A 17,479-nucleotide genomic window follows, 5' to 3' on the forward strand; every position below is an offset into this window, starting at 1 on the left:
CACCTGTAATCCTAGCTGCTTGGGAGGCTGAGGCAAGAGAATCGCTTGAACCTGGGAGGTGGAGGTTGCAGTAGCTGAGATGGTGCCACTGCACTCCATCCTGGGTGACAGAGTGAGACTCCGTCTCAAAATGTACATATATGTAAAAAATAAAAATAAAAGTATAAGCCTAAGGAAAGATGTGGCATTTACTATTGAGCTTTACTGAACATGTCACTATATACACTTCAGGCTTTGCTTTTTTAAATTTTTGTGTTGATACATGATATTATGAGGTACATGGATAGAATATACAGTGATCAAGTTAGGGCATTTAGCGTATCCATCATCTTGAGTATTTATCATTTGTATGTGTTGAGAACATTTCAAGACCTCTTTTCTAGCTGTTTTGAAATGTAAATACATTATATATTATTTATATATATAAAACTCTCAGACAAAACTTGCTAAGTTTGTTCTTTGTATATTTTATATATTTTCTGATATTTATTTGATGGATTCATTTCTGATAAAAGTATATTAAAAATATCTCTCCAGCCAGACGTGGTGGCTCACGCCTGTAATCCCAGCACTTTGGGAGGCCGAGGTAGGTGGATCACCTGAGGTCAGAAGTTTGAGACCAGCATGGCTAACATGGTGAAACCCTGTATCTACTAAAAATACAAAATTTAGCTGGGCATGGTGGTGCATGCCTGTAATCCCAACTACTCGGTAGGCTGAGGCAGGAGAATCGCTTCAACCCGGCAGGCAGAGGTTGCAGTGAGCCGAGATCATGCCATTGCACTCCAGACTGGACGACAAGAGCAAAACTCCATCTTAAATTATATATATATATATATATATATATATATATATATATATATATATACACACACACACACACACACACATCCATAATTATAAAAATTTTTCTTTATAATTTGATCAGTTATTGCTTTATATATTTCAAAGTTATACAATCACAGACTACAAGTTGACAATTGCCAAAATTATTCCTTGTGACACTTTTTAGTTAAGTTTTGCCTTCTATTAATATTATTGTTCCCATTGATATATATTTCAGTACCTTTATTTTCAAGCATTGTGTGTGGTATAGTTTTGAGAGTGTCACTCGTAAGCAGCATGACTCTATTTTTCAGTGACTTTGTAGGTAAAGTTTAATCTAGTTCTGGAACAGTGGTTAAAAGCATGTGTTAGACCACCTGAGTCCCAGTCCTGGCACTTCCGCTCATCTGTGTGTGATGGGCAGAAGTGCCAGGGTAATTTTCCTGGGTAATCTCTCCACACCTTAGTCCTCTCATCTATAAAAACATTGAGGATAATATTAGTATCTCATCATAGGGTTATTGTAGGAATTAAATAACATAAAGTTCTTAGAGCAGTGCCTAGTATCAGTAACTGTTAGCTGTTGAAAAAAATTTTTTGTTGTGATTATTGATGTATTTAGTCCCATTTCTACCATTATTTTCTGTTTTCTCTTTACCATCCTCTTTCCCTTGTTTACTCTCTCCTTTCCTGTCAATATTCTCTTTGTATTTCCTCTTTTTTGAATTATCTATGCGTTGGATTTCTATTCTTTTAGTGATTACACTTATACGCCTGAAGCCACCAAATAAATCAATATAATTAACATTTCCATCATCCCTGTCCTAGTTGTATTTTCTCAGATTCTGTATTTGTCTATGTGGCATCCATTAATTACTAGGTCAAATAATGGCCAAGTTGCTTACATCTGCCCTGTGATCAGAGACCATACTCTGAACCACTTCCTTATCTAATTCTCATACACCAAGCCAATGTTTACCCTCCCCTAAATAAACTATGGCCAGGTCGCGGGCACGTAGGGCTAACCTCTGTGCCCCAAGGCCAATCAGAATTGTTTAAGCTAGCCAACCCTAAGTGTTTTCCCTGCCCTGCCTTGCCTTTTCCACAGAGTGCCCAATAAAGGCTCTAGTTAGGCTTTCCCTGCTTCCTTCTGTCCCCTGACCAAACCTGATGCACCCCCGTGACCTTATGTGGCAATAAATTATTTAAATGGCATTGGCCTCTTTGTGTTGTCACTCAGTCAGCTCTCTAAATTAAAATTCCGTGGCACAAGTTGATATAACCCCAGAATTACAAAGGGATATTTCTCATATTCCTTTGTAATCCCTCTCTTCTTATCCCTACTTCCAGACTTCCTAGGCAAGCACTGGTCTATTTTCTGTCGGTATAGATTAATTTACATTTCCTAGAATTTTACATTAAAAGAATCATACATTATGTACTCCTTTTCCTGAATTATTTCATCCGGAAAATTATTTCTGAATTCATTCAAGTTATTGTATTAATATATATCAGGTTGGTGCAAATGTAATTGTGGTTTTTGCCATTACTTCAATTGTTTTATCCTTTTTTTTTTGCTGAGTAGTATTCCATTGTATGAATGTATAATACTTTGTTGATTCATTCCTTTGTTGATGAACATTTGGGTTGTTTCCAGCTTTTGGCTATTCTAAATAGGGTTGCTATGGACATTCATGTGCAAGTTTTCATGTGGACATGTGCTTTCATTTCTCTTGTGTAGGTAACTAGGAGACACACGCTTATGTTATATGGCAGATGTATGGCTACCTTTTAAATAAAATAACAATTTTCCAAAGTGGTTACTCCATTTCACATTCCCACCATCAGTGTATGAGAATTTCAGTTGCTCTGCCTCCTTGCCAACATTTGGTATGGCTAGTCTTTATTTTAGACATTTTAGTAGATATGTAGTGACATCTTATTATAATAATATATAGCTTTAGTTGTATATTTTGAAATAAAAATTAGTTATTTCTGAATTGAATGGACTTTTAAAAGATTATACTTGTGCCCATCATTATTTTTTGCTCCTGTGTCTTTCCTTGGGGCTCATTTTCCTTTTTGCTGTAATATATCCTTTAGTAATCCTCCTAATGAGGTTCTGTGGATGGTAAATTCCCTTAGCCTTGATGTGTCTTTATTTTGCTCTATCTTGAATGATAGTTTGGCTGGTACTAAGCACTCTGAAGATAATATCTTCTGGTCTTTATTGTTATTGATGAGAAGTCTGCTGTCAGTCATTGCCGTTCTTTTGTAGATTATCTGTTTTTTTCTTTCTGGTAGTTTTAAAGAATATCTATTTTTTCACATTCTGCAGTTTTATTCTGTGTTTAGTTGTGCGTTTATTTTTCTTTATATTGCTCAGAATTACCAACATTCTTCAGATATAAGAACTTTTCTTTGATTCTGCAAAGTTCTCAGTTATTTCTTCTTCAAATATTGCCTGTCTATTCCTTCCTTTTTTCTTCCAGAACTCCTACTAGACAGATTGTGTAGTTGCTTAACTGTTTTCAAAAATAATTATTTTATTTCTTTGTCTGTACTGCATTTTGGGTGAATTTCTCAGTACTACATTTCCTTTCACTAATTATGTATTTAACCATGTCCAGTTAAAAGTTTATTTGAGAAGAGAAAATGTATATCATATTCACTTTTTATAAACCCAGTCAAGCCTAGTTCAGTGCCCTTTATATAGAAATTCTATAATAAATATTTACTGGTTAAATACACACAGAAAACATCTTACTTTTTGTTTATAGATATATAACTTTATTAAAAACCAAATATCGGCCGGGCGAGGTGTCTCACACCTGTAATCCCAGCATTTTGGGAGGCCGAGGCGGGCGGATCACAAGGTCAGGAGATCGAGACCATCTTGGCTTACACGGTGAAACCCTGTCTCTACTAAAAATACAAAAAATTAGCCAGGCGTGGTGGCGGGCGCCTGTAGTCCCAGCTACTCACGAGGCTGAGGCAGGAGAATGGCGTGAACCCGGGAGGCGGAGCTTGCAGTGAGCCGAGATCGCGCCACTGCACTCCAGCCTGGGCGACAGAGCGAGACTCCGTCTCAAAAACAACAACAACAACAAAACAAATATCACATTTTCATATAACAAAAAGATACATATAAACAAATCTGCAACTTAAATTTTTAAGCAGCATATAGCAATATTCTGTCAATGCAAGCAGATTTAAAATTTTTATGCAAAGTTAGAATATTTTGTTGTGATTTGGCTTTAGGGGCATCTAGCCTTGTTCTTTCCTTGGGGAAATCTTTTGAGCTCTTCTAGCAGAACCCTTAGGAACATTCCAGCCAGCCCTAAATTTTGGATTGCTCTAGTATTTAATAATTTCCATTATTCATTTTATTATAATTTTATGGTGACGAGATTCTAGTCTAGTACAAGGTTAAGAATGTCTCTGTTTTGCTTTCAATGCTCTATTTGCTGGTGCTCAGCATTTTGTGTCATACAAAGCAGCACATAGAAAGATGGAGGCAGTCTGCTTTCTAAGCAAGCCACCCTCCTTTTATTATAGTTAAAAAAAAGAAACTCCCCCCTTCACTCATACCTAAAGGAGCTCTCCCTCAATTTCTTTCAGCTGTAATCAATCTGAGCTCAGGGTTTTCAAAGTACACAAGGAAAGATGCTAGAATCCTTTAAACATGTAAGGATGTTGGATCACTTGACACAACCAGTTAAACCAGTAAGATCCCATAAAATGGTTATAGCTGGTGGAGTCTAATGATCAGAAAGGGCCACAAGCTGATTTGTGTAACAGCTTCCCAAGATGTGCCCAACTCTCAACAATATTGTGTCTTCTCTGCAGAGAAATGGAATATTTATCAATTCTTTAATTGCAGCCTTGACTATTGGTGGGCAACAACTCTTCTCCTCTTCTACATTCAGCTGTCCTTGTCAGGTTGGAAAAAATTTCTATTATGGTTCTGCTTTTCTTGTCATTCCTGCCTTGATCCTTCTCGTTGCTGGCTTTGCTCTGAGAAGCCAAATGTGGACAATTACCGGTGAATACTGCTGCAGCTGTGCCCCTCCATACAGGAGAATCAGCCCCCTAGAGTGCAAGCTGGCTTGCCTTAGGTTCTTCAGCATCACTGGGAGGGCAGTTATTGCTCCTTTAACTTGGCTGGCGGTGACCCTGCTGACAGGCACGTATTATGAATGTGCAGCAAGTGAATTTGCATCTGTGGACCATTACCCAATGTTTGATAATGTCAGTGCCAGCAAACGAGAAGAGATCCTGGCTGGGTTTCCATGTTGCAGATCAGCTCCTTCTGACGTGATCCTAGTAAGAGATGAAATAGCTCTTCTGCACAGATACCAGTCACAGGTAAGTTTTTAGAATTTTTTTCCCTCTGCTATGTTATCCTATAGAACTACAGTCAATGGAAACATTTCAGATTCCTACTGCTTCTTATATTCTCTGATTATAGAACACAATACTAGATGCTGTTCATCAAAGTGAGTTCTACTGAGCAAATATATATAGTTAGGATGTTGGGCTTTGGAGTCAGCAGAACTGAGTTTTAGTCTTGCTTTGCCACTTATTAACCTGCAAAACCTTGAGTAAAATGGGGATATTCATGGCACCTACCACATGGGGCTGCTGTGGGGAATACATTACCAATATATCTGGAGTGTTTAATATGATTTCTAGAATCTATATTAAGAACAATAGATTTTAGATGTTATGAATATTATTATTGCTATATTAGTAAATCCCATTTTCTGTATATATATATTCTTAAATATGCATTCTTATATATTACTATCTCATCTAAAATTATAAGAAGCTTAATTATGATGAAAAATAACTCCAGTTATGATTCTAAATTTGGTGTCTATGGATAGGTTTATGTCAGAAAGTGAGGTGGGGTGGGAAGAAAGCCTGAACCCTACTACATTTATAGGTTGAATTTTAAAAGTGCTATTGTGCATTTTGTCAGTAGAAAGAGTGACACTGCTGTCATCAATTTCTCCAAGGGATCTGAGGAAAAAACACATTTTGAAATCATCATCATATAGTAAAAACATGGCTTTTTAAAACTACTTATTGCAAAGGCGTGCATATTTTTTGACTGGTAACCTTAGAGTTATTACATTTCAGAAATGCTAAAGTTATTTCGTTGGGAAAAGCTACTATCAAGACACAGAATATCAAGTTATTGCAATATGGCCCAGTTTTTAAAAAGTTAGAAATACCATTAGATATGCTCTGTCTTAACTTTTTTAATACTAGCCCTAATGCTCAGAGGAGCTATGTAAAAATATGTGAAAATTCAAAAAATCAATAGAAAAATTATAACTTAAAATAATTTTCTTGCTTAAGAAAAGCTAAAATGTAACACACATTGGTAAGATTTTCTTAAAGTCAAAACAAAATGTGTTATTAAACGCATACACAGATTTCTGTGAAAAGACAGTTTTACAGTTCTGAGTACCATTGCCAGTAGATTGTTTGGTTTTGTGACAACAAAGCTTACATTTATTGATGTACTTATCACATACTGTATAAATATTTCATATCTTAATTTAGTCCTGATAATATTGAGAGACTGATATTACTACCCCATTTTACAGATAAGTAAATCAAAGCTCAAAAAGTTTATGTAACTTGTATAATTCAGGGCTAATAAACTGGATCAAGATATCCCAAGATCATGCTATTTCCATTTCACTAGGCCATCTTCTGTGACTGTCTCAGTCACATTTCAAGAATATACATTATTTTTCAGTTAGATTTTTGTGAATTGACCACAAAATCACCTTGAATTCAAATCTTTTCTTTGCCCATGCCCTATTCTAAAATATCTTCCTCACATTAACTTCACTCCATGTCAATCTGCCTTCTAGATATATGCCAAAAATATCTTTCTAAGTGCAAATTGAATGATGAGATCCCTTCCCTACTGCATATAAAGCCCTTCAGTGATTTTCTACTAGCCTAAGAACAAACCCACTTTCTTGGCATAACATGCAAGGCTTCAACATCTGGCCCTTGACCACTTTTACATGACTCCTATGAGCATGTGAGTCCAAATGTGTTGAGGTTCTGCCAACTATTCATGCTATTTTCCTTTACCTTCTTAGAACTCTCTTTACCTTCTTGCATTTGATGAACTTCTTTTTAATAATTTAGGCTTTTGCATTATCTCCTCTGGGAAGTATTCCCTGATAATCCTTTCCCTTAAGTGAGTTCATTCCATTGTGCTTCCTCGGGTGCTCTGATTACTCATATCAAAAACTATCCCATTGTACCATATTTCTTGGATTGCTCATTTGTCTCCTTTTTTAGGCTTAAAAATTATAGAGAAAATGAATGCATCTTTAATTATTCACATCTGAGTTCCCCATAACCAAGCACATGTATTACACATGGGGGAAGGTCAACCTGGAGCTCAGTAAATGATTGTTTATAGGTTAATGGGCATCTGAGATGGCTTTTCCTCCGCCATGCTGGCCTCTGTTTAGTTAAATGGTAATAAATACCACTTTGTAGGTTTTAGCCTCCGTAGAGTACAACTATCCCACTGTGCACACACTGGAAACTTCAGGCCTGTTGGTAAATCACAAGATGCAGAAGAGGCCTTCACTACCCAAGCTGTGGCTGCATACTGCTAGCGTCCCTAAATATGTGGAACTTACCTCTCTCACTTTACATAAGAAGTGCAAAATATTGAAAACAGTAAAATGAAAAGAAAAAAAGGATTCTAAGAATAGAAAACAGCCATTTGATTCAATCTTTAAAAGCCGACACTAAATAGTCTCAAAAACTAGTTCATTTTCCTTTTAAAGTATGTTTCAAAGACACATAATGAGACTGGTCAGCAAATGATTATTTGAGGACAAGGGAAATGAAAAGGAAAACAATATGTTACTACATGGCACAGTGACTATGCTATTCATTTATTTTTAATCTTTTTTTTTTTTTTTTTTTGAGATGGAGTCTCTCTCTGTCACCTGAGCATTATTATGGCATGATCTGGGTTCAGCGCAACTTCTGCCTTCTGGGTTCAAGAAGTTCTCGTGCCTCAGCCTCCCGAGTAGCTAGAATTACAGGCATGTGCCACCATGCCCGACTAATTTTTGTATTTTTAGTAGAAATAGGGTTTCACCATGTTGGCCAGGCTATTCTCAAACTCCTGGCCTCAAGTGATCCGCCTGCCTGACCTCCCAAAGTACTGAGATTACAAGTATGAGCCACCACACCCAGCCAACTATGCTATTTATAATACATTTAGAAACATGAGTCTCTTCACTGACTTGCTTTTTAGCTGCAAAAGATAAGAGGAAAGTGCAATTCAGGAAAAAATATCAGTGAACACCTGTTGGTACATCATTGAAAATGCCTTAGAAGGTTACTATTATTATGTATCATATCATTTTCATCACCATCATTATCAAATACTTATTAAACACCCAAAGAATGCATAGGCCTATAACTGATAGTTGAGAAGTAAGGTTGAACTAAAAGCAAAGAAAGGTATGTATCATATGTAAGGTTAATTGGTGGGTTATAGCATCTGTCACTTCAAGGACAGTACTTAGAATCCATTCCAAGTTAACTGGTCAAATTTCTTTGTAACTCAAAAACGAAGTTGAAATGGCTGGGCCTATGCCCTCCATCAGACCTATTTCCAAATCATATCATTAGCACGTTGTTGATATACTAAAGATGGGAAAAGCAAATTTTATGTCCATATTTTAGTTCTTAGGTTTGTAGGAATCCCCCCTCCCATGGCTGTTGCTTGAATATTTGATGCATTGATACTTCCTGTTTTTCTTTTTAATAATGATGTGAAGATGCTGGGTTGGATTTTGATCACCTTGGCAACCATTGCTGCCTTAGTCTCCTGCTGTGTGGCAAAGTGCTGCTCTCCCCTCACCTCTCTGCAACATTGCTACTGGACCAGCCACCTCCAGAATGAGAGAGAACTCTTTGAACAAGCAGCAGAGCAGCACTCTCGGCTCCTCATGATGCATCGCATAAAGAAGCTATTTGGCTTCATTCCCGGGAGTGAAGACGTCAAACACATCCGCATTCCTTCTTGTCAGGACTGGAAAGATATTTCAGTACCCACTCTTTTATGCATGGGTGATGACTTGCAAGGTCACTATAGCTTCCTTGGAAATAGGGTGGATGAGGATAATGAGGAAGACAGATCAAGAGGTATTGAATTAAAACCTTGATTACAGCACCTTTCATGAGTCAGGTTGCTTAGCAGATACTTGGCTTTTATGGCTTTTATGATCAGGCCATTTCAATGTAATCTCTTCATCTTTTTCTTTCTCTCTGATATTTGTTTACGTAAGTCCATCTCAAATATTATTTCTAAAATCAATCTATTAGATAATTGTGCCAATCTCTCATTTTGAAATTTTGCCAATGGTCTGGTAATGCCTAGAGTGGAATGTGAAGTCACATGGAAATTTGCATCTTAGTTCTGTTACTTAGTAGCTGTGTGAAAATTAATATTTCTGAGTGCCATTTTGTCATCTGCACATTGTAGCTACCTCCTAGAGCTATTATGAGAATTAAACATGATAATACAAAGTGTTTAGCACAGTGTCTTTCATAAAAATAGATGCTAATGAATGTTACTTTCTCTCTTTCTCTTTTGCATTCCATGTCTTCTATTCACCATTTTCCCTGCCTCTATTTTCTGGTTTTATCAGTTTCTACCTTTATATAATGTCCAGAACTTTTCACAGCCTCCCCCTCTTTCTTCAGACCTAAATATCTGACCTTTTGGGAAGCAGGACAGAAACCTCTTTCTAATCCAGTAACATGTGAGGGAGAAGCCCATGCAGGAAGCTCTTGAGTTACTGTACTATAACCTGGGGACAATGATATATTATTTATCATTATTAGTATCATGTTATTTGTAGCACCTCCATACTAGGAGCATTTTTATGGCCACTACATATAAAGTTTCTTCTAGAAAGCTTCTCCACTGTGCTCTACTCCAGAGATACCATTTGTACCTTTTCATTACCAAATTGCACCTTTGCACTCAAAATCCATTTGTGAAACCAAAACTGCAGTCTGTACTTGTATATCCATTATCTGTAACTACAAAAGAGGATAATTCCTGCTTGGTGTTGCTCTGCCTGGCTTTACTAAATGCAGCCTACAGTATCTGGACAATTTTCTAATTTATCTAGATTATTTCTGTGATATATAGTGACTCGTGCCTGATTTTTGCTACGTTCACTGAAGCAACTTGCTCATTAGCAAAAATAAGTTGTCTGAGGGCATTCTGTCTATTTATTTCTTCAGTCAAAACAATGCTTACTGGACAGTGGACCAACTGCCAATAGTCAATCCAATTTTCAAGATTCACTTTCAAGGAGACCAAGGAACTTGACTATACTATCTAAAATGCAATCAATTACTTGGTAATCTACTTTTACACAATTATGGAAGGTTTTATTTTCTATAAAGTTCTGGGTCCTTGAACTTAATAGGAAGAAGCAGAAAATGAATTTTTAAGAAATCAAAATGTTTTCAGGTTTTGTTTTGTCCTTCAATAAGAGACTGCATATTGTAGCTCTTTGCTGGGACAGGAGAACTGTCCTGCCCTCACCATTACTCATCTGTCATTTGACCTTGGACAAATCAGTCCATCTCTCTGGACCCTGGATTTTTTTCATCTATACAATAAAAGGGATGATAATATTTTACCTCTTGGAAGAAAATAACTGAACTAAATAACTGCTTAAGGTCTCTTTTACATCAAGTACGATTTTTATGTTTATGTTTATATATATATACAGGTCAATATGCATACATCTTTCTGAAATGGTAGTAGACCCACGTTGCTTCTCTTGGAAGGAAAATGTCCCCAACTCTGAATCTGAGCTTTCTCTGAAAACATTTACTGGCATTCCACTTTTAAAAGAATGTTAATGTACTGATCTTTTTCAAGTCATCAAGGAAAGCCATTCCAGTTTGTCTACTAACTCTACACTCAGTACTGATATGACATTACATGAAGGATGTTAAAAATACAAATAGAAGTATGTTGTGGAAGGCAACTAGGGTTCTAGTTCCACACTGATACAAATGAACTGTGTAAATATGGAATGTCACATCCATTTTGTTCCCTAAGGTCTGCTCCAGTTCTAAAATTCTGTTCCTATATAACTGATAATTTTTTATATTCTTCTGTATTGGAACATACTAGTTAAATGAACACTTTCAACCATGCTCAGAATTAGTTTATTAGTTGTCAGGAACTATACCACAGTAAAGACTCTTCAATAAGATTTTCGGTTAACAACAAAATCAAAGAATATTTGAAGTTATAGCATTACATCATCAGAAAGAAGATTAATAGTTGTTTATACCCTAATACCAGGAAACTATTTCCACTAGCTTCTGAAGCCCTTCTACATCAAACTCTTTTAGTGTATGATGTAAAAATTTTATATTTTGAGCCAGTTAATCATGATCTTCCCCTATAACTTTCTGGCAAAGGATTCTAAGTATTCGTTGGCTCTTCTACATGGCTTCAGAATGATTTATAGCATCTATGTGAACATTTAAAAGGTAGTACACACCCCTGGGATTTCATCTTACAGTACATTATCTATCTCAGATCAAATAAATGGAATTTTTAGTATTTTGGGGGGGGGGGGGGCTATGGTCTATAGCATTTTTTTGCTCCACAGCTAGTTAAATGAAACTTTTTCATTAAGAACATGGTACTCCCTCCCCTTTATGCTTAATGGATTTATGTAATTATAAAACATATAATTAAAGTCAATTATGTGCTAATACTACTTTATATTTTGCTACCAAATGCTTTTGGCTACCACATCAAACCCTGGAGCTTGACATATATAAACCTGCTCCTTTCTTAATTTCATTAGCTCCTCCACGGTCCCATCATGACCTAAGTTGCCACCTTCCCAGGAGACAAATACAAACCAATGTGTAAATGTGTTTTACTCAGCTTTCTTTATGTTTTCCAAAGCTGAATTGTAGAACCGCATTTATACTCTGTCCTTCTCTGTGTCTCTTTTCTCTGTTCTCAGTCTTCCATTCATTTTTTGTAGAAATTCTAATGCATGATTGTAATAAACAACAGTGAGATTTTGCTAGTTGTTTTCTTGCATTTGGTTTGTATCACAAAGGGACATCACATTAATCCTATAAAAGTTTGAAGTATCATGGCCAACCAAAGGCCTTCTGAATGCAAGACTAGGTAGATATTTGCTATCTTGAAAACATAAGGTGTGGAGATACAACTTTAACTTCTAAATAGAGTCTACAGAAATTTAGTACCAGTCAATAAAGAACAGATACTGGCAGGCTGAAGAGCGTAGACTGCTACGCAACTGGCTTCTTGAGCTGGGGGGCGTAAATCCATAAATGTGACGTCTGGACCGAAGAGCAATAAATGGTATTTCCAGAGAGGCAAACTGTAGTATTCCTGACCTGATTATTTTTCTGCAGTAACAACCAAGTATGATTAAGCTTCTGTAATTTCAGTATACCAGAACTTCAGGAACAAAACAAAACGCATGGATTTCAAGTATGGTTTCCTCTGCTGCCACCCAGTGGTCAAAACAGGTGTCTGCACCCATCTGTGGTGACAGTAGTAGTAGCAAAAACAAGTAGTGCTCTCTGTATGCCAGTAACTTTTAACAAATTATCCTAGTTACACCTTTGGACACGTGACAAATAGTCACCCATTAGAAAGTAACTTGCTGAAATGATATTAAATAACATTAATTCTTTATTAATTCATTGAGTAACTGAGATACAGAGAAGTAATTGAGATACAGAGAAATCAAGCAATGTGCCAAGGGTCACGTAAGGGTTGAAGCCAGAATCCACCCCTGGACCCTGCACTCTGCAGCACTGTGCTGGAATACAGCAATGAGGTACGTTATCAATCTTCCAAGGCCTTGTAGGTGTTAGGAGGATATCCCTAATACTTCTGTCGATGAATAACTGAAACATCCTGGGCTCTGACCGTGTGTTGCCATATCACGTAAGTCGCTCTCTTTCCACCTAAATCATACCTGCATACATCAGGGCCCACTTTCAAGGCACTATGCTTCTTAGCAAAGTGACCTGTCCACTCTCACTGGGGCATAACATTGGACCTGATCTCCCCAACAGCCAGTGGCACTGATTCTATTAGCCGCAGACTAACAACAAACCTGCTCTGGAGTATCAGGTATTCTCTTTCTCATGCATGGCATGGGCATGGCACTACTGTAATCTGTCCATTTATTTTCAGTAGGCCATAGTTATGAAGTGTCAAAACAGGGATCAGGAAAACACCATCTCCTATCATTTATGTTGTCTTGCACAAGCCAGCCTCTCTGGGACTTCAATTTTCCCCTCCACGAGAAAGGAGAGGGTGGTTAAATTGCAAAGGTGGTTGATTAAACCATTTTGAATCACAGACCCCTTTGACGAGCCATTCTGGGGAAGCTGTTCTGAGGACATATCCAGTACATACACATAGACACCAGCTCACATACCTCAGAGTTCTCAATACCGTGGTAGGCTAAATAATGGCTCCCTGAGGATGTCCATATGCTTATCCCTGGAACCTGTGAATGTGACTCAATATGGCAAAAGAGACTTTGCAGATAGATCAAGGTAAGGATTTTGAGATGTGAAGATATAATCCTGGATTTTCTAGGTGGGCCCAATGTAATCACAAGGGTGCTTATAAAAGGACTGTAGGAGGAATCCGAGTCAGAGAGAAGGCAAAGTGACAACAGAAAAGGAGTGTCAAAAAATGTCGGAGTTACGCAGCTTGAGAAAGACTCTATCAGCCATTGCTGGCTTTGAAGATAAGGGGGTCATGAGCTAAAGAATGTGGGCAGTCCCTAGAAACTGGAAAAAGCCAGGAAATGGACTCTCTCCAAGAGCCTCCAGAAGGAACACAGCTCTGCTGACACTTTGCTTTTAGCCTGCTCAGAGCTGTGTCTGACCTGTGCCAGAAAAGTAGTAACTACATACTGTTCTTTTAGTTACAGAACTATAAAATAATACATTTGCAGTGTTTTAAACACTAAATTTGTGGTAATTTGTTACAGTGGCAATAGGAAGCTAATATACAAGCCAATACACTTCAGGAGCTTATGAGCCCACAAGCCTGTTGAATGAGACTCCCTGGATTAAGACCTCTAGGTCATTTCTAACACAAGCATCCTGATTCTATATGTGCTGACACTCTGCCTTGGGCAAAACTGTTGCTCCTGGAAAACAAATATATCTATAATATAATATTTTATGAATAAAATACAATGTGCTCTAATATTTTACAGTGTGCTAAAGTGCAGAAAGAGCTGAATATAAACTTCATAGGCATTTGTGGATGTTTTACCTTAAGCTGCAAATAAACATTTAAATATATTTTTCTTCTGTAGTTGTCAGTTAGTGGCATCAACAGAACTATTTACTATAAATTATTTCATAATGTAGACATATGCTAGCATTTCAAATGTGAGAAAGCAAATGTGAAAGCACAATCAATCAATCTCTGGATCTACATGGTGTTTTATTGATTGCACAAATTTCATAAGTCGATAATAGGTGACCTATTATTGATAAGTTTATGCCTGCCGTCATTCTTTCATGTTGAAATAACTTGAATTTGGAAAAGCTGCCTACAAAATAAGCATCTTTAGTCCAATGATGATTTAATAGATCCTATGCTGTCCTGTGAGACAGGTTTATATTTCATGGGGAAGATAATGCAAAAAGCAAAATTCATCCAAGTTATTACTGGCAGAGCTAGAATAATAATTTAATATGCGATTCAGTACTGCGCGCCATCAGGGAGCCTGATGTTTTGAGCTCCTTCTAGGAAATTGTCTGGGGCTCATTGGCATGGGGTGCCCTGAGCCAGACCAGACTGCGGGGACCCGTTTCTTCCCTTCCCCACATCCCTACACTCTTCGACCCTCTTCCCACAGCATGGCATGCCGGGGTGTTCTAGCTGGAAGTGCCAGCTCCCACCTGCAGCCCTGGAGCCGGCGAGGTGGTGGCAGCAGCAGGTCCTTTCCTTGGTGTGCCGCTGCACTGGGCCCAGGGTGGTCTCCACTGTGTGCCGCGGATCAGGCTGTCCTCTGGGGTGGTGTGTCTACTACCAGTTCTCTGATGGCTTTTGAGGGGCCTTACAGATTGCTGTCCCTTTCTGGCTTCAGATCAGTGTTGTGAATCTGTGCTCTCTTGGGCTGGTCAAGGACATTCCCTGCACTGGAATGGAACTGCTTATCTGGCACCACCCTTAGGACCTTCTCCCTTCTTCCCACTTGGTGGCCAAGTGTAGAAGGTGCGGTGCAGCGACATTAAAAGAGACATCGTTTTAGGAATGCAGTGATTATGGCCTAAGGCATTCAAGAAAAGACATAGTTGGAAGATGTGTAGTAAATTTAACTGACTGGAAAATAACCATTCCCATTTTCCTGCATACTTTGGGTAAAATTTCCATTTGTGGTCATCAATAAAGAACATTCTTTGAGAAAGACTTTGGAAGCCAGTATTCAGGAGCAGCAGGATGAATGACGCAGCTTAACGAGTAATGATGTGACCAGCATTACAAAAAAAGGTATTGGGATACTGCAGAGGCAAGAAGAACGATTTTGTTTTGCTAGAAATGACAGTGAGCCACGGGATTGTGTGTAGAAGCACTGCTTTTTTTTTTTTTTTTTTTTTGTTCTTCTAAATCATGGTGAGAGATATGAAATTAGACAGTAGTGCATTTGACAATAAAGAACATGAAGAGATGGCTCTTCTTCCTGAATAGAAAGAGATGGTGCCTGGACACTATAGAGAATCTTCAGACAAACTGATTAAACAAAAAGAAATGTATATGTATTGTCACAGGCTCCTTCAGGTGCTGCTTTACCAGCTGGAAACCTCTGTGGCCAGTGGTACCTCTACTTGAGTTTTGCTTGTTCCTGCTGGACTCGTTCAGCCCACTTGGCCCAGCAGGCCGTGCTCGCTTGTGCTACCGGCCCAGATCCTATGCCTGCGGAGAGTGAACCAGGCGCGGAGCGGCAAGGCGTGTGTGAGCGAGCAAGTACGGGGTCCGGCCACTGTACACAGCAAGCATGCCGGCTGCTGCAGCGGGGTGGGTAGCTGCCGCAGCGGGGCGGGTAGCTCCTGGCACCGTCACCGAGCGAGACTGCGGCGGGACCAGGCATACCGCAAGCAGCTTCCACTGTAGACACGAGTGTCTGGACGAGGGGAACGCGGTGGCACCCAAAAACTCAGAGATTCCAGGAACCACAGAGCTCCAAAGAGGGTGTTACAATGTGTCACAGCCCTGGCTCAGGGAGCCCCGAGGTCTGTGCTTCCAGAATGGCCACAGCTCTTCTCTCCCTCTTGTCATCTGCAGTGTGGGCAGCGGGGATGGGGGCCATGTTTGAGGGAGTGTATTTCAGCCCCTTGGTGGTATAGGTCTTTCAGTCTCAACACCCCGCTCTGGCCTGGCCCTGCGGCTGCTTTCGGTCATATGGGGCAGCCGCCCTGCACTAGCAGAGGGTGGGAGGACTATAGTGTTAAAGCTCTGGCTTGGGGACTCCCAAGATCTAGGTCCCCAGAAGGGTTGCCACTCTTCCTTCCTGCAGTCTGGGAGCATATCACCGCCCACAGCTCAGCAAGCAGGCCAGGAACATGTCACAGCCCCTTTAGCTCCCGCCTGCAGTTCAGCAAACCGGCCAGAAAAGTGTTACAGCTCCTTTTGCTCCCGCTGTTCGGCAGGTCCTGAGTTCTTGTCCTTCGTCCAGAAAGAATGAGGTTATGCAGAAAACTGGAAGGTAAGCAAGGCAGAGAAGAGCTTTATTGGGTGACCGAACTGCGCCCAGCGAAGAGGACACCCAAAGTGTGCAGCTACCAACTGCAGGCAGGTAGTTGCCATGAGTGTCTAAGCCGGCCTCAGTCCAGCGGCTTTTATGGGCTCAGAATGCAGGAAGACCATGCTGATCGGTCCATGGACAGGAGGAAATGCATGCTGATTGGCCCATGGGTGAGCCACTTAATTGGTCCAAAGGTATCAAGGAAAATCTCACTCCAGGTTAGGGACTTCACCTGGAACTGGTAGCCCAGCCCCTAGGCTTCAGGCTGTCCTTGGCTTGAAGATGGAGTTTCACTGGGGACTTGCCCCTTCCCACCTAGGAACCTATCTACCTCCAGCTGCCATCAGTAATTTTCTATTATTTATTCCAAATCTTCATCAATAAGTCATTATATCTTACAAGGGCCCATGAGTTTTAAAAATACATTTGTAAATACAATTAAATAAGATTGTTTATAGAGACAGGGACTGCACAATAAAATTTTGCCACCAAGACACTACTTACCTTAGGGGTAACCCCAACTCAACCCTTCACTGTATTTCCTTGAAGGAAGCCAGAGAATTGATGACTTACATTTAAATTTTTCATTTTAACTGTTTTCTTTCTATACATTTAAAGTCATTTCTATTGCATTTCACTAACCCTATCTTCTATACCTCTTTTGCTCCTTTGTTTTCTTCTCCCCATGCCTCAATCCTTTTCACATCCAAAGCAAAGGTAGGGGTTTGTGGAGAGTGGTGAAGAGGGAGAGGAAAAGAGGGAGGAAGAGGAGGAAAGTCAAA

The 17,479-nt window shown here is 39.1% G+C and overlaps 1 protein-coding gene across 13 annotated transcripts in view; it reads left to right on the forward strand.

Annotated features, from left to right (window-relative positions):
• The window catches only part of CALHM4 (calcium homeostasis modulator family member 4), a 32,085-nt gene extending 20,116 nt beyond the window's left edge, over window positions 1–11,969 (forward strand). For 7 of the 13 annotated variants that reach the window (XM_011535562.3, XM_011535560.3, XM_017010390.2 and 4 more), the window contains 2 exons: window positions 5,082–5,193; window positions 8,667–11,969. In XM_011535562.3, coding sequence (XP_011533864.1) covers window positions 5,082–5,193; window positions 8,667–9,053 — 499 coding nt within the window. In that variant the 3' untranslated portion in view covers window positions 9,054–11,969. Of the gene's footprint in view, window positions 1–4,592; window positions 5,194–8,666 lie in introns of those variants that run through there. The other 6 variants (XM_017010391.2, NM_001256888.3, NM_153036.5 and 3 more) reach the window with 4 other exon arrangements.
• Window positions 11,970–17,479: the final 5,510 nt, after the last annotated feature.

Source organism: Homo sapiens, chromosome 6, assembly GCF_000001405.40.
Source record: "Homo sapiens chromosome 6, GRCh38.p14 Primary Assembly".
Classification (NCBI taxonomy): domain Eukaryota; kingdom Metazoa; phylum Chordata; class Mammalia; order Primates; family Hominidae; genus Homo; species Homo sapiens.